At 46.9% G+C, this 25,653-nt stretch overlaps 1 long non-coding RNA gene across 5 annotated transcripts in view, besides 4 other annotated features; it reads left to right on the top strand.

Moving 5' to 3' along the window:
• Positions 1–25,653, top strand: part of LINC03112 (long intergenic non-protein coding RNA 3112) — a 43,139-nt gene that overhangs the window by 15,581 nt on the left and 1,905 nt on the right. The window contains exons 2-3 of one of the 5 annotated variants that reach the window (XR_001755777.2): positions 19,298–19,491; positions 23,421–23,576. The exons of 1 other annotated variant lie outside the window; for it this stretch is intronic. This is a non-coding gene — a long non-coding RNA (long intergenic non-protein coding RNA 3112). Of the gene's footprint in view, positions 1–18,953; positions 19,492–23,420; positions 23,577–25,653 lie in introns of those variants that run through there. 3 more of the 5 variants (XR_950503.3, XR_001755776.2, XR_001755778.2) reach the window with 3 other exon arrangements.
• Positions 9,320–9,819: an enhancer, noted in NCBI's record as "H3K4me1 hESC enhancer chrY:2451809-2452308 (GRCh37/hg19 assembly coordinates)". NCBI's record gives its function as "activates a minimal SCP1, AML or CMV promoter by ChIP-STARR-seq in primed H9 embryonic stem cells {active_cell/tissue: H9 hESC(primed)}" and the evidence as "EXISTENCE:reporter gene assay evidence [ECO:0000049][PMID:30033119]".
• Positions 9,320–10,011: a biological region, named in NCBI's record as "H3K4me1 hESC enhancers GRCh37_chrX:2501617-2502117 and GRCh37_chrY:2451809-2452308".
• Positions 9,511–10,011: an enhancer, noted in NCBI's record as "H3K4me1 hESC enhancer chrX:2501617-2502117 (GRCh37/hg19 assembly coordinates)". NCBI's record gives its function as "activates a minimal SCP1, AML or CMV promoter by ChIP-STARR-seq in primed H9 embryonic stem cells {active_cell/tissue: H9 hESC(primed)}" and the evidence as "EXISTENCE:reporter gene assay evidence [ECO:0000049][PMID:30033119]".
• Positions 10,012–10,512: an enhancer, noted in NCBI's record as "H3K4me1 hESC enhancer chrX:2501116-2501616 (GRCh37/hg19 assembly coordinates)". NCBI's record gives its function as "activates a minimal SCP1, AML or CMV promoter by ChIP-STARR-seq in naive H9 embryonic stem cells {active_cell/tissue: H9 hESC(naive)}" and the evidence as "EXISTENCE:reporter gene assay evidence [ECO:0000049][PMID:30033119]".

The following is a 25,653-nucleotide window of genomic DNA, read 5'->3' as shown; positions in this document are numbered from 1 at the left end:
CCTCCCAAAGTGCTGGGATGACAGGCGTGAGCCACCGTACCCAGCCTCGGTGAAAACCTCAGAGGCAGGCAGCATATTCCCTGCCGAGCCGGTAGGTGGCGCAGTCAGATAAGCATTAACTAAATCACAGCTCCCTCTCCCCATCAGAATCTTTATCTAGAGGGTAACCCCAAACCTGAGAATTTGGTCAGGTCCGCACACACACAGGCATCATCATTCTTCAGCGCCATCATGAAGGGCTCTTCTCCCCCTGTTAAAGGAAACTATCACATAGTCTTCCGAAACAGCCAGTCAAAAACTTTGTGATGCAGGAAAGAACAAAAAAAAATTAAAGGACGATTACAGAATAAATATTTACATTTCTGCCTGTAACACGGACTCTGAAGCATTGGAATAATGAGGACTTGCACACCGCAAATGGGCATCAAAATCGGGCTTTATACTTGAAAAATGAAGTTTTGTGTCAAAGAAAAGGGACATTTCAAACACCACATTTATGTTTGACCCACATATACATGTGATTTTAGCTGGTCTGATATTATATTATATTATATATATATATATTTGTTTGTTTGTTTGTTTTGAGACAGAGACTCACTCTGTCGCCCAGGCTGGAGTGTTGTGGAGCAATCTCGGCTCACTGCAGTCTCCGCCTCCTGGGTTCAAGTGATTCTCCCGCCTCAGCCTCCCGAGTAGTTAGGACTACAGGCGCCTGCTTCCGTGCCCTGCTAATTTTTGCATTTTTAGTAGAGACGGGGTTTCACCATGTTGGCCAGGCCGGTCATGAACTCCTTGACTTCAGGTGATCCACCTGCCTCGGCCTCCCAAAGTGCTGGGATTACAGGCGTGAGCCACTGCACCTGGCCAGTACCTTTATACCCTTCTGGAAAGAGAACATGTTCCTTCCCCTGTTGACACTGAATTATGTCAACAGTTCTCCCCCAAGTAATGCATGGGTTTAAATCACACAGGTGATTTCAACTTGCTGCCCCCACTATTTCATTTGACAAAGGACACAGTCCTGCCTACCTGAGAGGCAGTGGCTCTACGTAAAAAGTTTTAACACACAGGAAACACCATTAAAGGGTTAGTGACTAACCCATATTTCCTGTTTTTTTGGTTTGTTTGTTTGTTTTCCCCACACATCCCCACTGGCCTGAATGAGACCTCAAGGTGTCTCATTCTTACTTTATCTTACAATCACTCTGATGGTCAAGAAGCTTGAGCACATGGGAATTCTTAAATCAAGGCACATGATTGTTACAAAGAATAGACGCTGAGGTGGGCGGATCACCTGAGGTCAGGAGTTCAAGACCAGCCTGGCCAGTATGGTGAAACCCCGTCTCTACTAAAAATACAAAAATTAGATGGGTGTGGTGGCACGTGCCTGTAATCCCAGCTACTCAGGAGGCTGAGGCGGGAGAATCGCTTGAACCTGGGAGGCAGAGGTTGCAGTGAGCGGAGATCATGCCACTGCACTCCAGCCTGGGTGACAGAGTAAGACTCCATCTCAAAACAAAAACAACAAAAACAAACCAAAAAAACAAGTTAATTAGAATGCATGGCCAACGTTGTGTTCCCCAGCTCTGTTGGTTTTCACATTTTTTTCCACAAACGAAATAAAAATGAAAGCAAAGCTTAAAGCTAAAAAGCATACCCATTTAGACAATCTGTAAATATATACTTTGTTGAAATAACACTGTGAGAGTTTGTGCACATTTCTTTGGTTGTTTTCGTCATCTGAATCCATGGCTGACTGGCTCCCACTCTGCTATTTTAAAAATAAAATGTCCTTTCTTCTATCGTTTCTGTGGTTTTGTCGCCAACCCATATTTGCTGGAATAAGGTAGTAAAAAACATACACTAAAGTCTGAAGTCCCCATCAGCTCTGCTAACTTATTACTAGTTTTCACACACACTGAGTTTAATGAATCTATGTTTTGGAACAAAGCAGTTACCTTAGGAACTTGAGAGATGTTTCCGGCCAGGCGCGGTGGCTCACGCCTATAATCCCAGCACTTTGGGAGGCCGAGGAGGGTGGATCACAAGGTCAGGAGACCGAGACCATCTTGGCCAACATGGTGAAAGCTCATCTCTACTAAAAATACGAAAATTAGCTGAGCGTGGTGGCACACACTTGTAATCCCAGCTACTTGGGAGGCTGAGGCAGGGGAATTGCTTGAACCCAGGAGGCGGAGGTTGCAGTGAGCCTAGATTGTGCCACTGCGCTCCAGCCTGGCGACAGAGTGAGACTCTGGCTCACGAAAAAAAAAAAAAACCTAGAGAGATGTTTCCTTGTAAAACCACCCCATTCTAAAAAGCAGGTGGGTTACATCTGCTTCCCTGTAAAGAGAACTCTTTCTAGTGTTAGCTGCTCTGTTCATAGATAAAAAATGCTGGACACCTAAAATGTTAGTTTAAATTTATTAATAGCATCTACATAAAATCTTAGCTATTTCACACAACACTACCCACTATCATATTTGAAATAATCTGAGCAAATAGTAAAAAGACATATCCCAAAGACAACAACACTGGCAGACTAAAGAAAAGCAGAAACCATGAACTAAGAAGGTAAAATGCTTTTGAACCTCTAAGCGACTCCTGCTATTACGGAAACATCCGTTTTCGTCCATTGGGTTTTATCGGTTTTTATCATTGGCTTTGTGTTTTGCCTAAATTAGCAAATATAGCAAGTCTGTTTATGCCTCAGTTAACCTGTAGACTTAACCTCACTAAAAATAATAACACATTAGGAAAAACTATCAGAAAAAACAATAACCACACCTCCGCCCCAACACAAAGGCACACATAAAGAGGGACTGGACACAAATCCATACCACAGACTTGATTTGGTTTACAAACTTGATTTTGTAACCCAAATCCTTTTTGTTTTTGAGACACAGCCTCACTCTGTCGCCCTGGCTGGAGTACCCTGGTGTAATCTCAGCTCACTGCAACCTCCGCCTTCCGGGTTCAAGCAATTCTCCTGCCTCAGCCTCCCAAGTGGCTGGGACTACAGGCACATTCCACCACGGCTGGCTAATTTTGTATTTTTAGTAGAGACGAGGTTTCACCATGTTGGTCAGGCTGGTCTTGAACTCCTGACCACAGGTGATCCACCCACCTTGGCCTCCCAAAGTGCTGGGATTACAGGCATGAGCCACCAAGCCCGGCTGCAACCCAGATCTTGATTTTTGACCTTGATTTGACCCACAGATTTGGGAATGAGAAGTGATTACAGAGTTGGAGCCTTGGAGGGAGAGAGGGTTTCTCATGTGAGCAGGGCATGGAGAAACAGTAGTCAAAATCCTGATTTTGACCAAGATTTTTTCCAAATCTTGATTTTTGACCTTGATTTGTAAACCAAATCAGTTTTGTTTTGTTTCCTGCTTTTTTGTTTTTTGTTGTTTGAGACGGAGTCTCGCTCTGTCACTCAGGCTGGAGTGCAGTGACGTAATCTCGGCTCACTGCAACCTCTACCTCCTGGGTTCAAGCGATTCTCCTGCTTCAGCCTTCCAAGTAGCTGGGACAACAGGTGCCCGCCACCATGCCCAGCTAATTTTTGTATTTTAGGAGAGACAGAGTTTCACCATGTTGGCCAGGCTGGTCTCGAACTGCTGACCTCAAGCAATCCACCTGCCTCAGCCCCCCAAAGTGCTAGGATTATAGGCATGAGTCACCATGCCCGGCCAAATCAGTTTCATATAGCAAATTGCGAAAGCTGGTCACTGGATCACCTGAGTTTGAATTATTTTGAATACTGATGACCCAACGTGCAGATCCAGGAGACAGAGCCAGGACCCAAGATTTTCAATCCTCCAAAGGAGCCCAGGATTGTCAAGAATTTGGGCAAGTTTCCTCTGGTTAAAAAACAAAACGCATGTTTCAGCATTCAAAGTGAAGCAGAGGAAAAGCACTTATTATTCAATTACTTTAGGCAATTGAGTCAAGCCAGAGATAGACACGATCCAAAAACTCTTGGGAAAGATGTTCCATCTTCTACATGGAATGCTGGACCTATCCCAAAGTTCTCCAGGGATACCCTGAAGAGTTGTAGCACATTCAAGAAAGTACACACGTTTCTTCAGTAAACAGACCCAGAGATAGCTGTCCACCTGGAGCAGATTCTGGTCAGCCCATGAGCAGCTCTTACTCACACAGATACTGAGCCAATCAGAAGTGATAAAATCCTTCCAATACTTCTAATCACCCAGGAATGAATTAGTCAATGGGGAACTTTTCCTGTCCTCATCTGCCTGCCCCAGGGCTCATGGTTCATCTTGTCCATGAGTTTCTACATGCAACTATGAGCTAAAATAAAAACAAACCGGCCCAGGCATGGTGGCTTACACCTGTGAGCACTTTGGGATGCCGAGGCAGGCAGATGACTTGAGGTCAAGAGTTCGAGACCAGCCTGGCCAGCATGGAGAAACTTCATCTCTACTGAAAATACAAAAATTAGTCGGGTGTGGTGGCGCATGCCTGTAGTCCCCGCTACTTGGGAGGCTGAGGCAGGAGAATTGCTTGAACCCAGGAGGTGGAGGTTGCAGTGAGTTGAGATCGTACCACTGCACTCCAGCCTGGGCGACAGAGTGAGACTCTGTCTCAAAAACAAAAACAAAAACAAAAACAAGCAAACAAAAAACCCATATACACAGATGAAAAAGGAGAAGTCCTAATCACTGATAGTAAATCAATAGATTACCGTCCACGTTAGAAGCTCTGTATCTCAGGACCAAACAACCACAAGCCACATATGGAGAGAGCGTTTAGTAGTTCACACATTGTGATTTAGGAAGCAACCACTTCTCTGATTCTAAAATAATTCACTCTAGGGAGAGTGGCTGCCCTGAAACATTGCCTTCCCACCATATTTAGTTCAAGAAGTCACTCAGGGATGAGGAAAATGAAGGATATGTACATGACTGAAGGATTAAGTGGCAGAAACAGCATTTTATTTTTATTTTTATTTTTGAGACAGACTCTCGCTCTGTTGCCCAGGCTGGAGTGCAGTGGCGCAATCTTGGCTCACTGCAACCTCCACCTCTTGGATTCACCATGTTGGTCAGGCTGGTCTCGAACTCCTGACCTCAAACAATTCACCTGCCTCGGCCTCCCAAAGTGCTGGGATTACCGGCATGAGCCACTGCACTCAGCCACTAGCTTCTAATAATGATAATTCTACTCTCTACTTCTATGAGCTTAACTTTTTTGTACCTCCCACTTACGAGTGAAAACATGGGGTATTTATCTTTCCATGCCTGACTTTCTTCACTGAAGATATTGTCTTCCAAGTTCATCTGCGTTGTCGCAAATGGCAGATTTCATTTTTTATGGCTGAATAGTATTCCATGATGGATAGATACCACATTTTCTTTGTCTAGTCATGTGTTAATGAACATCTTAGCTATTATGAAGAGTGTTGCAATAAACTTGGGGGTGCAGATATCTCTTGCATAGACAGACTTTCTTTTAAAAATGTATACAGTAGTAAGATTACGGAATCATATGGCAGTTCTAGTTTGAGTTTTTTGAGAAAGTGCCATACAGTTTTCCATCCTGGCTGTATTCATTTACATTCCCACCAACAGTACATGAGTTTCCGTTTGTCCCAATCCTCACCAGCGTTTTTCACTTTTTGTCTCTTTGATAATAGTGATTCTAACTAGGGTGAGTTGGCCATGAATCTGCCTTTTCTGGGGGAGATTTGTATTCAGATCCTTTGATTTTTTTTTTTGAGACAGAGTCTCACTCTATCGCCCAGGCCTGGCACCATCTCGGCTCACTGCAACCTCCGCCTCCCGGGCTCAAGTGATTCTCCTGCCTCAGCCTCTCAAGTAGCTGTGATTACAGGCACCCACCACCACACCCAGCTAAGGGTTTTGCCATGTTGGCCAGGCTGGTCTGGAACTCCTGACCTCAGGTGAGCCACCTGCCTCAGCCTCCCAAAGTGCTGGGATTGCAGGTGTGAGCCACCGCACCCTGCCCTTTTGGTAATTTTTAAATTGGATTACTGTTGTTTACTCTTGAGTTGTTTGAGATCCTTGTAATTTTCCAGATTCATCCCCTTTCAGATGAGTCATTATTATCCCCAAATATTTGTAAATATTTTCTCCTATTCTACAGCTTGTCTGTCCACTCGGTTGATTGTTTCCTTTGCTGAGCAGAAGCTTTTCTGGTTTAATATAGACCCATTTATCTATTTTTGGCTGTGGTACCTGTGCTTTCAATTTGTTGCCCACAAAATCGTGGCCTAGACCAAGGTCCTGAAGCATTTCCTCTTCTTTTAGCTTTAGTCATCTCATCGTTTGGGGTCTTATATTTCAGTCTTTAATTCATGCGGAGTTTGTTTTTGTATATGGTGAGGGATGGGGGCTAGTTGTGTTCTTCTGAGTACAGTATCCATTTTTTCTAGCACCATTTATTCAATAGAGGGTTCTTTCCTCTGTGTACTTCCCTGCTGCTTTTGTCAAAAGTCACTTGGGTGTAAATCCATGTTTTTTTTTTTTCCTGGGATGTCTATTCTGTTCTGTGTCTTCCTACATTAAAAATCACATTATAGGCCGGGCACAGAGGCTCATGCCTGTAATCCCAGCACTTTGGGAAGCCAAGGTGAGTGGATCACCTGAGGCCAGGAGTTCGAGACCAGCCTGATCAACATGGTGAAAACCCATCTCTATTAAAAAATACAAAAAATTAGCCAGACATGGTGGCGGGCGCCTGTAATCCCAGCTACTCAGGAGGGTGAGGCAGGAGAATCACTTGAACCCGGGAGGCAGAGGTTTCAGTGAGCTGAGATCGCACCACTGCACCCCAGACTGGGTGACAGAGCGAGACTCTGTCTCAAAAAAAAAAAAAAATCAAATTCTATTTGTGAGAAAGGAATCGTGGTGTATTGGCTCTGACACCTGCCTTATACCTTTCCATCTGGATGTTCTTTTTGCTCTTGGCTTCACTGTGGGTGTCTGATAAATTGTACAGACAAAAGTAAGTTTACAAACTGTCTGAAACTTTGGTGTTTCTTCCCCTGAGGAATTCCCCTGAGGAATACCAACTCTTCATGTGCAGAGAAGTGGAAGTATAGAAATTCAATTATCCATCTTCTCTCAGCCGATGAACAGCTAGAGGCTGGAAACGCAGGTTCAATTGAAAGTTAGAAGCTGCTGCCCTGGAAATGTACACACTATCGCTGAGCGAGGACCTTTTCATGCACTGTGTGGGCACGTGCACACACACCCACCCACACACACGGGTACGCGCGCGCGCACACACACACAATTGATTTCCTCTCTAAAGTGGCAAGAAGAAGCTGCCTGGCTGCAAGCCTTGCTGGCATGGGTCATGCCATCTACAAAACTGTTCCCTTGCTCCCCACTTCTGCTCGAAAACCTTTCACAGACTGCAGATTCAAGGGAAAGCCACGCCAGCCACCCGGCTATCTGCTGGGAGACCCTGAGGTGGGCTCTTCTCTTTGCCGTCAGCAGGAAGAGGGTCTCCTCCCTCCCACCTGTGTCATCCTGGGGGAAGAGCTGTCTCTGGAATGGAAACACCGGGTAGAAGGGTGCAGAGGAGAGATTGCATCGCCACTTTAGTGCTTGATGAATTCCTTTTTCCCCGACCCACACAGCCCTCTGATATCATGGTCCATTTTCCTGGCATCCTTCCTCAGCTGCAAATCCATCCTAGACCATAGCAGGGGAGGCTATTTTTACCTGGGTCAGGTCCTATCTTCTCCTTTGTTCCTGTTTCTGAAGGTCAGGAATGCCTTACCCTCGGGAGCCAGGCTCTCAGACAAAGGCTCTCCAACCCTGAAGCTCTTTCTGTCTCCCAGAACCATGGGGCATCGGTGCTGGGGTCACTGCATGCAGGTATAAAATTTTCCCTCAGTAGTGTGTCACTGCAGGCAGGCGAAGACTTCTACCAGGCATCGTGGAACAGCTCCTGCTCACCGGTGTTAGGGGCCACAGGGAGCGGAGACAAAAATCAGGGCATGAAAGGCCTGAATTGTGTATTTGCTGGGAAACTGGGTGGTCCCTGTTCTTACCATGTCATGGATTCCTGGTGCAAGCCCTATGCCCCTGTCCAACAGCCCCAGCTCCCTCCCTCCCTTAAAGAGAGTATTCAGGATGCCCAGCTAGGGAGGAACTACCTCCTTTCCCAAGAATTTGGGCTCCTTCGGCCTTCTGTGCTGTGCCCTGACCTGTTCGTGTCTCCACCAGACATCAGCCCTAAACACAGCTCACACTTCAGGAAAAATGTGTGTGCACCCACGTGCCACCATGCCTGTCTCTCCATTCCCCAGGGCTAAGCCCCAGAGAGTAAGGGACAAACGTGGGGTGGAGGGCTTTCTGTGATGCGAGGGCAGAAACCTGGATCCTTACACTAAGGCGTCTGTGTGCATCGCCCCTTTATCACGGGACTGAGTCTCACACCAAGACGTCTGCCTCACCCCTTCATCACAGAACCCAGTCTCCCCCTTCCCCTTATAGAAGCTGTGACTCTGGGCAAGGGTGTGTACTTTTTTCCTGCCTGGGCCCATCCTGCTTGGTATCAGCAATGAGTTAGTTGCAACTTGAAACCCCCTTCCCTGTACAAGAGACACAGAGAGAGAGAGAGAAAGAGAGAAGGGGCAGCTTCTCTCCATGAGCACCTTCATTCTTTGATGAGAATATCGCAGCTCACCCATACCGGGGTGCAGGGTGAGAGTGAGGAAAAGAGGAAAGGAAGGGGACTCCCAAAGAAGGGGTGAGATGCAAGACCTGGACGAGAGAGATATCCACCGCTGCGCTGGAGAGAGGGGGCCGGGAAAAGCAGAGAGGTGGGAGAGGTGATGGAAAGGCGCGCAGTCGGGGACGCCTGCTCTCCCCCGACCCTCCCCATCTGCAAAGGGAGGCCCCCCGCCCAGTGCCGCAGCCCCTCCCCGCGCGCTCGCCCCCGCGCCTCCCTCCCGCGCCCCCGCGCCCCCCGCCGCCAGTGGACGGCTGCGCGCTGCTGCCCGCGGGGCTGGCGTTTCCACCTGTCACCGCGCCGCCTCCGCCCCAAGTTTTCGGGGGACTTGCCCGGCGCGCCGCCTTCCTCCAGCTCTCCCCCATGGCCGCCGCCCCCTCCTCCCGGCCGCCCCCAGGGCCCCCCGTGCCCCCAGCCCAGCCCAGCGGCCGCCGGGCCCGGTGAGCGCCAGCAGCTGGGGGGACCCGGGCGGTGGGAGCCCCGCGCGCAGCCGCCTGCACCCGAGCGCGCCGGCCTCCGAGCAGCCACCACTGCCACCACCGCCGCCGCCGAGCAGCCACCCAGGCAGCGTCTGTCCCGGGCACGGAGCATTGCGGATGCGGCGCGGGGCCGGCGCGGGGCTCCGGGCGCGCTCGGGGGTCGTGAGCGCCGCGCCCCGCGCCCCCGCGCGCCCCCCGCCCTCCCGCGCGCCCCGCTGGGGCCATGCAGTCTCTCATCTCGCCGGTGACCAAGGCGATCCTGGTGGCCCTCTTCATCTTCGCCATCCTCCTCATCCTCTACGTGATCCTCTGGTACATCTGCCGCGATGTGGACTGTGACCACGGCATCTGAGCGCCGCGGACCCCCGGGGTCGCCAGGCGGGGGGCGCCCCCAGCGCCAGGGCCATGGGGACTGAGCCGTCCCGCGGTGCCCCCCAGCTCGGCGCCCGCGCCCCCTACTCCGGGCCCCACCGCCCGCCCTGCACCTCCACCGCCTCCTGGCCTTGACCTTCAGGGACGCACCGGGGAGAGCGGGTGAGTGCGCTCGTGCGGGCGCTTTGGGGGGCCACGGTTGGGGAGCCCCAACTTCGGGGAGGACGCGGAATCCGGACGCGGGACTGAACCCGAGGATTCACGGAGCCCGGGGCTCCCCTATGGGGCACGGGAAGCGGCAGATGCGCGTGCAGAGAGGTGGGCGCAGGCCCCCCCTGTACCCCCTCCAGGTCCGTCCCACCCACCCCCTGGGCGCCTTGGGTCCAAGGCGCATAGGCGCTCCCGCCTGTGGCCGCCACCGGTGCAGCAGAACGCGGGCTCTCGGGTGGGTCCAATGCGCTATGGCACACCAGGCGCTATCGGGTCCCTAGCCCTCTGCTCCGGCGGTGGGGACCCCGCACTCAAGTTCCCTATAACCTCCATGGACAAACACGGTGAGCGCGAGGCTAGGAACAGAGTGAGCGTTATCCACGGCCAAGGGACACCTCTAGGGAGCAATGGGAAACAAAATTTCAACCAGGTCGGAAGGCGGTTTGCCTTTCTCACACTGCCAAGCCCCCCCTGGGAAGCCGAAGCCTTGGGGGTGGGGGGAGTAGGTGTCCTCCAAAGTCCTCTGGCCCCTGCTCCAGAGGGGAGAGGGACAGATGTGACAAGGATGAGGCTTTGCCCTACACCAAGTGTGCCGGGCAAGTTTGGGAAGGTGAAGCAATCTGTGACTTAAATAAATATCTTCTTAGCCAGAAAAATGCCTGCCTTTGAATATTTCTCTGGGAAAAAAAAAAAACTGTGAGGAAGAACACCCAGTTTAAATAGACTGCCAATTTATGCGTGGGCATGGCTTCCTTTGGTAATCAGGGCAGACAGAAGCTGTTTGGGGGCTCACTTCGGATCAGACGGAGCTCGGCTTGGTGTTATTTATGTTCATTCCTCTCTGATTAACAGTTTCCAGCCACTTGAGGGTTAAGGAAACTAAAAATCCTAGGACTTTTTTTTTTCTGGTCCCAGGATAATCTATAGATTGCTTGTCCGGGGAATCTTTGGAAATCCCGTGGGACTGCAAATGTCTGATTTGGGATGGTTAGGGTGTGAGTGTCAGTGTGACTGTGACTGTGTGTGTGTTTTCCGTAGTTAATACTGTAGTTGACACAGTGAGTGGTACTGCAGCACCTAACTCATGTCCACAGATGCCAGTGTCTGCAAAGGGTTGGGGAGGGAGCGGGGGGGCGTTAGGGGGAACAGACACCACTTTCAGGATAACAGATATGATTTGAGAAAATGAAAACATTTGCAAAGTCCCTCCACATTCTCCATTAAAATACATTCTCCTGGGACTCTGTGGCTGGGTGCGTGTATTACATCTCCCAAGATGCCAAGTTTGTCTCTGGAATTTGTTGCTTCTCCTCAGCCTGGCCCCCCAACTCCCAGCTCACATACCCAAATGTAGGACTTTTACATCTCAGTCCAAAAAGACTCTCTGACACCAGAACGGACCAATATTTTTGAAGTACTGCGTGTGCTCCAGGTATTAAATTAACTGAAAAGAAACGGGGTAGAAGCTTGATTATGAAAATCCAAAATAGGACGCTTTGCAAATTATTCCCGGCACAGAGGAAAAGCTACTGGAGCTTCACGCAAGCACATCCCACCCAGGGGGCCCAAAGTTACGCCAAGCACAAACCCACCGGGCTAGTCGAATAGGAAAAGGAAGATTTAATCCAAGAAGCCTGTTTCTCAGGTGAGGGTTTGGGAAGAAACAGGGTCGTGGAGTCAGTCACTCGCGGGGCTTGCCTGGGAACGATATGAAAATACAGTTGCAGCTGAAACTAGATGTGAGCCACTAACGAAGCTCACCCTAAACATGATAGCTGAAGTCCTGTTCACATCTGATGATTCCTTAGAGCTTGTACATTCTCAGCCTCTCTCGGATTATTTTTCTTATATAAAATTTCCATATTCCAATCGAGCACTGTTTATTCAATTTCCCAGAGAATGCCTTCTCATAAATTAGAAACTAGCCGTCTACATATTGATTCTATGAACGATTGCATTAAAATGCCTACTTAATAGTCACTACCATGTCTGCTGAAAGGCTCATCACCAAATGAGAACAAAACGCAGGGATTCAGAATTCAAATGGTAGGGCGCTCACGAAGTCACAAAGTGAACAGCTAATTAACGCTCTTGGAAAAGAACGCTCATCTCCATCACAGATAGTCTCCTTCCCCCAGATAGACAAGGCTAGAACCAGAAAGAAACCTTTAGACAAAAGGAAATCACAGTAACTCATGTCTGTGTAGCCTCCTGTGTGATCTACAAAAGACCTTCCCGTGAGGTGTTCCTCCAGATCTGCGCCACTGTCCTGGGAAGATGCCAGGTTGGTGCTAACATCCCTGTTTCAGGTCCACAAACCAAGGCAGGTAGAAGTGCTTCTTGCCCAAGGTCACGCAGTGAGTCAGTGCAGAGTTGTCACTGGAAGTGACACAGACTCCCACTTGGAGCTTTTGGCTAGAGATTGGGGGGCATTTCTTTCTACAAGTGTGACTCTTCTCTGTGGTCCTGTTTTATGTCCATCAGTGCACACTGACATCCATCAGTTCTCCAAGGGAGTGCTTAGATCATGGTGACCATTTGGGTATTTCTTTTCTTTCTTTTTTCCTTTTCTTTTCTTTTCTTTTTTTTTTTTTTTTTTTCTGAGATGGAGTCTTGCTCCGTCGCCCAGGCTGGAGGGCAGTGGCGCAGTCTCGGCTCACTACAACCTCTGCCTCCCAGGTTCAAGCGATTCTCCTGCCTCAGCCTCCTGAGTAGCTGGGATTACCGGCACGTGCCACCATGCCTGGCTAATTTTTGTATTTTTAGTAGAGATGGGGTTTCACCCATGTTGGCCAGGCTGGTCTCAAACTCCTAACCTCGTGATCCTCCAACCTCAGCCTCCCAAAGTGCTGGGATGACAGGTGTGGGCCACTGCTCCTGGCCCGTTTGGGTATTTCACACCTAAAGAAGATATGAGTATTAAAACAGCAGCATGATCCCTCAGGATGCTTTCCTGGAACCTAGAAAGATAAGCCCTGACTGGAAAAAAGGACAATCTCAGTGAAGCTGGGAAGAGCATGATGAGACAGAAACCTCTGCGCTATTATCTTAATTTTCTATGGACAACCCACACATGCAAGGGTGGTTATGATTACTGTCAAAAGACCTACAGTTTCCTATAAATAACAATTACACCTAATAGTTGCTGAGTGTTTTACTAAACACCAGATCTGGAGTGAAAATAATATTATATACATTGTATTTTACCCTCCTGACAGCAACATGAATATAATTAGTATCCCAATTACACAGAATGGAAAAATAAGGCTGGAAAAAAACAGGTTATGTAACTTCCCCAAGAATAAAAGAAAAAAACTCAATCATCAGTAACCAAGCTTTTACCAACGGACCTGTGGCACACATGTGTGTTTATGGGGTGTGTGTGTGTGTGTGTGTGTGTGTGTGTGTAAAATCTCACATCCATTGCAGTGATATTACACAAAAGTTTTAAATTATATTTCTACTTGCAACTCTCCTTTAGGGTTTAAAATTAATCATTCTCTTTAAAGTTTTTAAAAAATTGATTACAGAATAACTGCTAATTATCTGTTTCTAGACACTGCTCACACAGGTTTCCATTTTTAAAACTTTTTATGTATTTTTTTTTTAAAGACAGAGTCTGGCTCTGTCATCCAGGCTAGAGTGCAATGGTGCAATCTTGACTCTCTGCAACCTCCACCTTCTGGGCTCAAGCAATTCTCATGCCTCAGCCTCCCGAGTAGCTTGGACTACAGGCCTGAGCCACCATGCCCAGCTAATTTTTGGACTTTTTAGTAGAGACGGCATTTCATCATGTTGGCCAGGCTGGTTTCGAACTCCTGACCTCAAGTGATCCACCCACCTCGGGCTCCCAAAGTGCTGGGATTACAGGTGTGAGGCACCGCGTCCAGTCAATATATTTTATGTGTTCCAAACTGTAAAGATTTTTATGAGTCTTAAAAAAAAAAAAAATGAACCTTAAAGCGAAGCTGCTGAAAAAGTGGCCCTAAATGCATTTTTCTTGGGATCCCATATAGTGCAAAGACCCTCCTAAAATCTCCTTTACATGGTTTTGGCAGCTTCCAAACTTAAGGGGAAGGTCCCCCAAGGGGTAGAGAGGGCCTCCTGGAAACCTCAGCTTCTGTGCAAGAAGAGTTGAGGGAAGAGGGTAAATTCGATCTGTAATGAAGCTTGAGATGTAGCAAGACAAAACATCTAGACACCATAATGAGGGACATTTGGTGGCAGTGATGAGAGGGGGACGTGGTCAACTAGATGAGAGAGAATTTTCTCAAGCTGATCATTAAGGACAGGGTGAGCACAGCGGCTCACGACTGTAATCCCAGCACTTTGGGAGGCCAAGGTGGAAGGATCGATTGAGCCCAGCAGTTTGATACCAGCCTGGGCAACATAGTGAGACTCTATAAGAAAAAAAAAAAGCAGGGAGAGGGAGCGGACACAGTGGCTCACACCTATAATCCCAGCACTTTGGGAGGCCGAGGCGAGCAGATCACCTGAGGTTAGGAGTTCCAGACCAGCCTGGCCAACATGGTGAAACCCCGTGTCTACTGAAATACAAAAATCAGCCAGGCATGGTGGCACACATCTGTAATCCCAGCTACTCAGGAAGCTGAGGCAGAAAAATCGCTTGAACCCTGGAGGTGGGGGTTGCAGTGAGCCGAGATCGCGCCACTGCACCCAGCCTGGGCGACGGAGTGAGACGCCATCTCAAAAAAGAAAAAAAAGAACAGGCTGCCTCAGAAGTGGTCAGAGGTGTTTGTTTGCCTTGTTGTGTGTACTTCCCCAAGGGAAGTGTAGCGGGGAGGAGAGACGAATACGCAAGTGTTTCGGTCATAGGACTTCACACTGGATAAGAATATTGACATACCTTCCAAATTTATATCACTGAAAAAAAAAAAGATTCTTTAGCAGAAGTCAACATTTTGGAATTCAAGATAAGTGACCTGTGGGAAAAAGAATTGAGTTGAAAATCTCACTGTTGTTTTCAAAGCTGTTCTCAGTTAATGTTGTTTTCAAAGCCTGAGGTTGTGGCTTACGTTATTGAGACGCTTCTTAACCATTCTTCTCCTCCTTCACCCTAAAATTAAGATCCTTTTATATCTCCTCTTCTCAGGCTGTGTTCCACAGATGTTCATATTGGAACTTGCCTGCATTGCAGATGTCTGTAAAAAAAAAGCCGGGGGAGCGGAGAGGCAGGCTGAAAGGTAGTAGAGAATTCCAAGGTGCCGACAGAGAAGGAAAGACCAGCCTGGGTCTTACATATTAGCTCTGTGATACTCCAAGCTCCACAGTGTTAAGCTAAATCCCACTTAGAAAGTGAAGTGGGAAATAGATGTGGATTTGGAGCTAGGAGGGGCAGTGCCGCGGCCTGACTCAGAGAGCTGGGTCCTTTCAGGATGTAAGAGACACGAAACGGAGGACTCCTAAGAGGAAGAGGAGGCTGCGTTCACTTTCACGCACTTCCCAAGGCAGCATGTCAGGCCGGGAAGCTGTACAGTGGGAAGAAGAATCTGTAACAGCGCCTCAAAGCAGGAAAACAACACCGTACCATAAGCCAAACCCCTGCTGTGCTTTCTGAGTAATGCCATTTCTAAAAAGATCATGTTTCCATGAGTTATTTTTTCCCCTCCGCCGATTTGGTCTAGCAACATGTAAAGTGTAAATTCAAGGGAAACATGAGTGAAATAGAAAGGGTGACTTTGGAGGTACCTACAGTAGATGCAGTGCTGTGATGGGGCGTGCTGACCTAGAGGGGGATATTCCCCCATCAGAGAAAGGTCCCAGGGCCCTGCTGCTGTCTCACAAACCTGAGCACTTCCTTTCCGAAACTATCCCCAGAGGCAGGATCTTTCAAGAAATGTCGTCCTTGGTCCTTGTCTTGCATCCTTAGCTGGGGAGCCTTCCAGGCAGAGGCTAGGATTTTTGGAAATACCTAAGCCTCCTTCAGCGCCAAGTCTGGGGGATAACTTTAGAAGCCAATTTAATCAATATGGCTTTTAGCTCAAAATAGCGCCAGTGTAAGGTAAGGTCTAGACAGGCGCTTGGAGGCAATTCTGAAACAGTTCCAAAAATAGTTTGAAACAAACTGGGCCCTTTGAATGAGTAGCCGGCCTTCTGGAGGAAAGGGATCAAACTCACTCGTGTGCAAAACCTCAGGTGCAATTTGTGTTGTAAACTCTCCTCGGTCACCTCCTAACTAGGATTTTTCGGGTGTGGGAACAAGATGTATGCATTTATTGAACACCTACTGTGGGTTTATGACAATTTTACGCTTTTATTACGAAACCTTGGGATAGGCTGTTATGTTTTCCTCTGGGGAAGGTGAAGACTGTCTGTAATTATGCGCTCAAAAAGCTGTCCATGCCCGGGCGCGGTGTCTCACGCCTGCAATCCCAGCACTTCGGGAGGCCCAGGCTGGAGGATCACTTGAGGTCAGGAGTTCAAGACCAGCCTGGCCAACATGGCGAAACCCCGTCTCTACCAAGAATACAAAAATTAGCCAGGTGTGGTAGTGCACACCTGTAATCCAAGCTACTTGGGAGGCTGAGGCGGGAGAATCGCTTGAACCCTGGAGGCAGAGGTTGCAATGAGCCAAGACTGTGCCACTGCACTCCAGCCTGGGCGACAGAGTGGACCCTGTCTCAAAATAAATAAATAGTAAATAAATAACTGTCCACTAGGGATCTCAAGGCCAGGTTGCCAGTGGTCAGTGGTGGCTATTTTTCATGTCATTGTACTATCTCTTACCATCTGACCAGACTCATCCTTCCATTCCATCCGCCTACCCCCTGTCTCTGAGTCATCAGATGACTAAGCATACCTATGGGTTGGTACTGTTGGCGTGAATGCGGTGATTCAGGTCGTAAGTGGGCCCACCACACAGAAGGCTCCCGAAAAGATCCTCGGGGAAAATGGACAGACATCATTAGTGAAAGAGAAAAGCAAAGTATCCCCAAAGCCTACCCATTAATAGTGGTCTGAACACAGGGCATTGCCGCATTACTCTTCCTGGCTCCCTAATTCCCATGTGTGTGAAGTGTGACTGTAATTACGATGAAAGCTAAATGAATTAAATATGATTTTCTTTTTTTTTTTTTTTTTTTGGAGACGGAGTCTCGCTCTGTTGCCCAGGCTGGATGTGGCGTGATCTCGGCTCACTGTAACCTCTACCTCCCGGGTTCAAGCGATGCTCCTGCCTCAGCCTCCTGAGTAGCTGGAACTATAGGCACCCACCACCACACCCAGCTACTTTTTTTATTTTTAGTAGAGATGGGGTTTCACTATTTTGGCCAGGCTGGTCTCGAAATCCTGACCTCAGGTGATCCACCTGCCTTGGCCTCCCAAAGTGCTGGGATTACAGGCATGAGCCACTGCTCCCAGCCAATTTTCTTTAGTATCTCATCTTTTAGCATGACACCAATGGACAAGTCTAATGGGAATTACAATAACATGGAAATTGGATCTTTCCTACCGTCAGCAAAAATGTCAAGACCACAAAAGACAAAACAAACAAACAAAAAACTATCTAAGCGAATAAAATAGTAGAGGCAAACAGAAATATGAGAACAAAGGCATCTAAAAAAGATGCTTAAGAAAAAAACTTTGGGGAGGCCGAGGCAGGCGGGATCACTTGAGTTTCAGGAGTTCGAGGCCAGCCTGGCCAACATGGTGAAACCCTGTCTCTACTTAAAAAAAAAAAAAAAAAAAAAAAAAAAAACAAAAATTAGCTGGATGTGGTGGCAGGAAACTGTAATCCCAGCTACTCAGGAGACTGAGGCAGGAGAATCACTTGAACCCAGGAGGTGGAGGTTGCAGTGAGCTGAATCTGGTTCAAGCGGTTCTCCTGCCTCACCCTCTTGAGTAGCTGGGACTACAGGTGATTCTCTCACCTCAGCCTCCTGAGGAGCTGGGACTACAGGCATGTAGCACCATACCAGACTGATTTTTGTATTTTTTTGTAGACATGCGGTTTTGTCAGCGTTGCCCAGGCTGTTCTCAAACTCCTGGGCTCAACTGATCCTCCTGCTTCAGCCTCCCAAAGTGCTGAGATTACACGTGTGAGCCACCCTAACCACTGCAAACATCATTTCTTTTTCTTTTTTAATTTTTAACTTTTTTTTGGTTTTTGTTTTTGAGACAGGGTCTCACTCTGTTGCCCAGGCTGGAGTGCAATGGCACAATCTCGGCTCACTGCAACCTCTGCCTCCCGGGTTCAAGTGATTCTCCTGCCTCAGCCTCCCGAGTAGCCAGGATTACAGGCATGTGCCACTGCACCTGGCTTAATTTTGTATTTTTAATAGAGACAGGGTTTTGCCATGTTGGCCAGGCTGGTCTCAAACTCCTGACCTTAGGTGATCATCTCGCCTAGGCCTTCCAAAGTGCTGGGATTACAGGCCTGAGCCATCCTGCCCAGTGCAAACATCATTTCAATATCCCCTTGCATCCTGCAAGGGTTCTCCATCTGGGGACAGATGGTGGGGCAGTAAACCTTCAGAAGTGCGGAGAGACAACGGGTGCTTTCCTCAGGGGCAGGGGAGATGAATTCAACCAAGAACACGACTCTTGAGGAGGAAGGCAACTGCAATGTTGGAAGCACCAACCACAAGTGGCTGTTGAGTATGGTTTCATTCAAGGCTTGAATATTTATTTTTATTGAGCTATATTGATTTAAACGTAAACAGCCACATGTGGCTGGTGGCTATTCTATTGGATAGCACAACTAGAATTGTAATACATGTGCTGTTTGATTCATTCATTGTATTAGTTTGCTAAGGCTGCCATAACAAAGGACCGCAAACTTGGAAGCTTAAACAAGGGACATTGATTCTCCTGGAGGCCTGGAGGCTGGAAGTCTGAGATCAGGGTATGGGCAAGGTTGGTTCCTCCTGAGGCCTCTCTCCTGGGCTTGTAGACGCCATCTTCTCCCTGTGTACACACAGGGTCGTCCCTCTGTGTGTCTGTGTCCTCATCTCCTCTTCTTATGAAGTGTCTTAGTCCATCTCAGGCTGCTATCACAGAATACCATAGACTGGGTGGCTTATAAGCAACAGGCATTGATTCTCCCACAGTCCTGGAGGCTGGAAGTCCGAGATCCAGGTGTGGGCAGGGCTGGTTCCTCCTGAGGCCTCTCTCCTGGGCTTGTAGACACCGTCTTCTCCCTGTGTCCTCACAGGGTCAACCCTCTGTGTGTGTCTGTGTCCTCGTCTCCTCTTCTTATAAGGGCACCAGTCCTGTTGGATCAGGCCCTACCCTAATGACATAATTTTCGCATAATGACCTCTTTGAAGGCCTTATCTTCAAACACCGTCACAAATGAGGGCTAAGGTTTCAACATGGGCATTTCGAAGAGACACAATTTAGCCTGAAACACTCATTTAACAAACCTTTCCTGGCTCTTATGTACCAGCAGTTATAATACTGGACAAACCTGGTTCCTGCTCTGAGTGTAAATTCCCAGCTGGGGAGATGGCAAGGTTATTTGATAATTGTGGTACATTTTGATCCAGGGTATAACAGAAGTCCGGGCCACATGCCGTAAAACAGCTGGCAGACAGATCTCAGAGTCTCTGTGCTACAGGAACATGGAGGAAGAACCCAGGTGGGCTTGGGAGGAGATGTTTAAGGCATCGTGATGCTTGGTGTAGCCCTGAAGGTCAAGATACAGTTATCCAGATAACGCTAAGGTGAAGATTCATTTCAGGTAGAGGAAGCCACAGCACGTGAGATCATGCATGCACACATACATATGTGCGCGTGCGTGCGCGCGCGCGCGCGCGCGCGCACACACACACACACACACACACACACACATACTTCCATGCCCAAAGGCAGCAAATTCTGCAGCCCAATTTGTATTCCAGAGCCTGCTGTTGACCAGGTTGAGATATGTCCTGAGATCAAATCATGCCTCAGTGCCTTTTTTTTTTTTTTTTTTTGGAGACAGATTCTCACTCTGTCACCAGGCTGGAGTGCAGTGGTGCGATCTCAGCTCACTGCCACCTCCGCCTCCCGGGTTCAACGATTCTCCTGCCTTAGCCTCCCGAGTAGCTGGGACTACAGGTGCACACTGCCACGCACGGCTAATTTTTGTATTTTTAGTAGAGATGAGGTTTCACCGTGTTGGCCAGGATGGTCTTGATCTTTTGACCTCCTGATCCAACTGCCTCAGCCTCCCAAAGTGTTGGGATTACAGGCGTGAGCCACCACCACCCCTGGCCGGCTTAGTGCCTTTTTAAACGGGCTTCCCTCCCTCCCTCTGCAAATGCTCTATGTCTTTGAATCCCAACCTCAGTCTCTGTGTCTGGGGAACCCACCTTATGACAACACCTTATCCACACATAAGCTTTGGCAGGTAAGTAACATGATCATCACTCGACAGACATGCTGCCTTAGGCCCAAGTCACCTGGCCAAGGTCCAGCACTCATTGAGCACCATGATTCTCCATGTTGGACCTCTGCCTCAAGGATTCATGAAGAAACAGAGAAAGTAAGGGGCTGATAAATGTTCTTGTGTACTAAAATTGCACATCTGGAAACTGACTCTGAAAGCGGTGCCATACCTAGAACATAATTAGTGCAGGTCAAAAGCAAACCCATCATCCTGCGTGTTGTTCCCTCTGGCGCTTCTTCCTGCTCCCTGGAGCCATGTTGGCATTAAACAAGACAGCATGAGTGGGTATGTTTACACCTCTTGCAGTATTTTGGGGTTTTCCTGGGGCCTCCCAGAATCTCTGTGTGTGAGAGCAAGCCAGGGATGCTTTTGTGAAGGTGGCAACCCCAACTCTAAGGCCAGCCGAAAGAGTACTCTCTGTGCCTCTCAAATTACCCCAGCTTCCTGGCCGTCTGACTCAGCCCTGTTGGGCGTCAGTCTCATGGAAAGACACAGTAATGGGTGGAGACCTACCCATTCTTTTTGTTTGTTTGTTCTTTGTTTTGAGATGGAATCTAGCTCTGTCGCCAGGCTGGAGTGCAGTGGTGCGATCTCAGCTCACTGCAACCTCCGCCTCCCGGGTTCAAGCAATTCTCCTGCCTCAGCCTGCTGAGTAGCTGGGACTACAGGCGCATGCCACCACGCCCAGCTAATTTTTGTATTTTTAGTAGAGACGGCGTTTCACCATGTTGGCCAGGATGGTCTCGAACTCTTGACCTCAAGTGATCCATCCGCCTCGGCCTCCCAAAGTGCTGGGATTACAGACGTGAGCCACCGTGGCCAGCCCCCACCCATTCTTAAAGATAAGATTTATAGAGTTACAGGTGGGGAAGAGACAGACAGGAATTAGATTCCTTGCAAAAGCTGAATTGGATGCGGCTGGTTCCTGGGGCTAGCAAGTGTGATCATCATTATAATTTGTGGAGATCAACCCATTATCTTACCAATAGCAGCGATTCAGGAGGTGGTAGATAGCGTTCCCAGATGAATATTTGAGATACTCAAGTGAAGGAAAGCCCTTTTCAGTAGACTTTGAATTCTTTGAGAAGGTATCAAGGAATTCCCTATACCCCCAAGCTTCGTCCCAAGTGCTCAGAATAAATATCTAGTCACTTCCAAGTTGCTCCAACTGATTTGCCTGGAGCAAGGACAGGTCCCTGGGTCACTGAATCTTCCTTGACCCAGATGTTTGGGTCATCCTAATTGGGAAGAGTCTTTATGCCACTGTGAAAGGTGGAGGGACTGGGGTTCAAAGAGGTGAGAGGTGGAATAGCAGCCTGCCCAGCCCGGTGTCCCTGGAGATCATGGGGCTTTTGGGGGCCTCAGGGGAACACAGCTATGTGGCTACAGCCCCACCTAGTACTCCACTGAGGTACCCGGAGCCCTGTTTCTGTATTTTCCCTGGATGCCCCAGGTTTTCAGGGTCTGGAAGAACTCTACCCGTCAGAAATAAAATATAGGCTGGGCACGGTGTCTCACGCCTGTAACCCCAGCACTTTGGGAGGCCAAGGTGGGTGGATCACTTGAGGTCAGGAGTTCGAGATCAGCCTGGCCAACATGGTGAAACCCCCTACTCTACTTAAAATACAAAAATCAGCCAGGCGTGGTGGTGGGCGCCTGTAATCCCAGCTACTCAAGAGGCTGAGGCAGGAGAATTGCTTGAACCCAGGAGTCAGAGGTTGCAGTGAGCCAAGATGGCACCATTGCACTCCAGCCTGGGTGACAGAGTGAGACTCGGTCTGAAAAAAAAAAAAAAGAAATACAATATGATCCACAAAAGCAATTGAAAACTCTTTGTTAAACACATTAACAAAGGAGTAAAATGAAAATGGTGAAATCAATTTTAATAATATGTGTAATCACTATATTGAAACAGTCTCCTTTTAACGGGTATATATATTTATATTTACATAAATATATGAATTTATATTTCATGTATGTTTTTAAATTTATTAAATTTGTACAAATTTTATTAAAAATATATGCAAATACGGTATTTAATAATAAATATGGTATTTAATGACACTATTTAAATAGTGTCATTTTAACATGTATGTATATTTCTATATTTACATAAATATATAAATTTACAGTTTATGTATATTTTAAAATTAAATATATACAAATTTTATTAAAATATATTTTCATATATTTATTTAATCACTATATCAAATAGTCTCATTTCAACATGTATATATTTATATTTACATAAACAAATTTATAGCTTATGTATATTTTTCAGTTTATTAAATTTGTACAAATTTTATTACAATATATTTATATATAAGATATTTATTTTATCACTATATAAAATAGTCTCATTTCAAAATGTATATTTATATAAATATATAAATTTATATTTTATTTATTTTTTAAATGTAAAATATGTACACATTTTATTAAGATATATTTCTGACCAGGCATGGTGACTTATGCCTGTAATCCCAGCACTTTGGGAGGCCAAGGTGGGTAGATCACCTGAGGTCAGGAGTTCGAGGCCAGCCTGACCAACATGGAGAAACCCCATCTCTACTAAAAATACAATTAGCTGAGCGTGGTGGCGCATGCTTGTAATCCCAGCTACTTGGGAGGCTGAGGCAAGAGAATCGCTTGAACCCAGGAGGCAGAGGTTGCAGTGAGCTGAGATCACGCCACTGCACTCCAGCCTGGGCAACAAGAGTGAAACTCAGTGTCCAAAAAAAAAAAAAGATATATTTCTATATAAACATATATGTATAAATGTCATAAATGAATATATATATTTTATAAGTATATAAAATAATTGTATACATATACACAATTTATTTCAAATTTATATTTTAAAAATATATGTGTGAATGTATTTAGAATTGTATATATAGGTATAATTATTTAGAATTATATATAGTTATTTAGAATATATTTATAATTTTATATATATAGTTATTTAGAATAGATTTAGAATTGTATATATAGTTATTTAGAATAGATTTAGAGTTGTATATATCATTATTTAGAATTATTTAGAATAGATTTAGAGTTGTATATGTAGTTATTTAGAATTATTTAGGATAGTATATGTAGTTATTTAGAATAGATTTAGAATAGTATATATAGCTATTTAGAATATATTAGAATTGTATATATAGTTATGAGTGAGATAGCGCGCATTCTTTTTTCACACCAAGTCTTCAAATCCAGTGTCTATTGTACATTTACAGCACATCTCAATTCAAATGAACTGACATCCTTTGGGTGTTTGTCCCTTCCAAATCTCCTGTTGAAATAGCATCCCCCGTGTTGGAGATGAGGCCTGGTGGGAGGTGTTTCCGTCACAGGAACAGATTCCTCATGAATGACTTGGTGCCATCCTCATGGTAATGTGCGAGTTCTCACAGTATTAGTTCATGCAAGAGCTGATTGTTAAAAAGAGCCTGGCTCCTCCTCCTCTCTCTCTTGCTCCCTCTTTCACCATGTGACGCTCTGGTTCCCCTTGCCTTCCTCCATGAGTAAAAGCTTTCTGAGGCCTCACCAGAAGCTGAGCAGATGCCAACACCATGCTTGCTTCTTATAGAGTTTGCAGAACGGTAAGCCTAATACACCCCTTTTCTTTAATAAGTCACCCAGCCTGGGATATTCCTTTATAGCAATACAAAATGGACGAAGACACCACATCCAAATGCCATTTGTGGCTGGTGCCCCCAATCTGGATAGCACAAGTCTCATTTTGTCTTCCAGCTAACCCTATGCTTTTCTTATGGAATTTCTCTCCCCTGGCCCTGAAGAAAGCATCTCTTCCCTCCCTGGCTCTTCTCTCATCTTCACTCTCAACCATCTGGTAGTTTTCCACATGCGATATTTAGCCAGAACTATCCCTGATGGAGGGGCCTCCCCACACACAGCCCAAGCAAATTCACACAGGACTAAAGTCTGTTTCTTTATTGGGTCATTGTCTTTCTGGGTAGACTGAGAGTCGGTGGGGATTCAGAATTTCTGTCAAGCTCCAGACAGGTCTTCTCAGGCTCCAGCACCCCAGATGCTTGTGTCTTGACTTCCATTTGGTTCTACCATATGCAGAATAAAGGCAATCTATAAATGGAAAAATGCAGCCAGGCGCAGTGGCTTAGGCCTGTAATCCCAGCACTTTGGGAGGCCGAGACAGGCAGATCATGAGGTCAGGAGATCGAGACCAGCCTGGCTAACACGGTGAAACCCCGTCTCTACTAAAAATACAAATAATTAGCCAGGCGTGGTGGCGGGCACCTGTAGTCCCAGCTACTCGGGAGGCTGAGGCAGGAGAATCGCTTGAACCTGGGAGGCAGAGCTTGCAGTGAGCTGAGGTCGAGCTACTGCACTCCAGCCTGGGCGACAGAGCGAGACTCCATCTCAAAAAAAAAGGAAAAATGCTAGTTATGCAGGTACTTGTTAGGGTCTCCTGCCCACCCCCCAACCCCGCACCCTTTGTAATCTAAACTCTTCTGTTTACTGGACTTCACTACTTTCCTCCTGATGTCCTCTTTCTGTCCCAGGATCTCCTCCAGAACCCACATTACATTGAGTCATGCCTCCTCTTGGCTGTGACAGTTTCTGAGACTTGCCTTGTTTTTCATGACCTCGAAGCAAGGTCTTGTACATGACTCTTGTATGGGTTTATTTATTAAAAAGATATTTATTTGGCTCACAGTTCTGCAGACTGTTCAAGAGTCAAATACAAGACCTTACTTCAAGGTCATCCAAAGCAAGGCCTGCAGACCATACAAGGGCCCCTTGCCACAAATGGCACTTGGATGTGGCTTGTGTATTAGTCCATTTTGTATTGCTATAGAGGAGTAACTGAGCTGAGTGATTTATAAAGAAAAGAGGTTTATTTGGCTCACGGTGCTGCAGACTATACGAGAAACACTGTCTTGAGGACAACGGGTCAGGTATTTTGTCAAGCTGTCCCTCTGTTGGGATTTGTCTGCAACTTTTCTCATGGTGAGACTAGGGTGGTTGGCTTTGGAGAGGATGACGGCAGCGATGAAGAGTCATTCTTATTACATCATATCAAGGTACATACTGTCAGCCTGACCTACCATTGTTGACTTTGGCCTTGATCACGTCTGAGGTGGTGTTTGTCAGATTTCTCCACTGAAAAGTTATTGATCTCCTGACCATGCTCTTTGAAAGGAAGTCTCTACATGCAACCCACACTTAAAGGAGTGGGGAGTTATGTTTCATCTTCTTGAGAATAAAATATCTACATCAATTACTTGGATGGGACTCTTCTGCACAGGGGATTTGTATCTCCTCCTTCATTTATGTTTTTATTCAATAATTGATTGCTTTGGGTTGCCATCTAATATTATTTTATTTTATTGCCCAAATTGTTTCAGCTTTGAGCACCAGGAGCTCTTTCATGTTGGCTTTTGCTTATCTTTCACGCACCCCCATTTTTTTGTGTATTTGAGCATT

This window comes from Homo sapiens, chromosome X, assembly GCF_000001405.40.
Source record: "Homo sapiens chromosome X, GRCh38.p14 Primary Assembly".
NCBI classification, from domain to species: domain Eukaryota; kingdom Metazoa; phylum Chordata; class Mammalia; order Primates; family Hominidae; genus Homo; species Homo sapiens.
The sequence above is the reverse complement of the archived record's forward strand: the minus strand, read 5'-3'. Positions and strand labels throughout refer to the sequence as shown.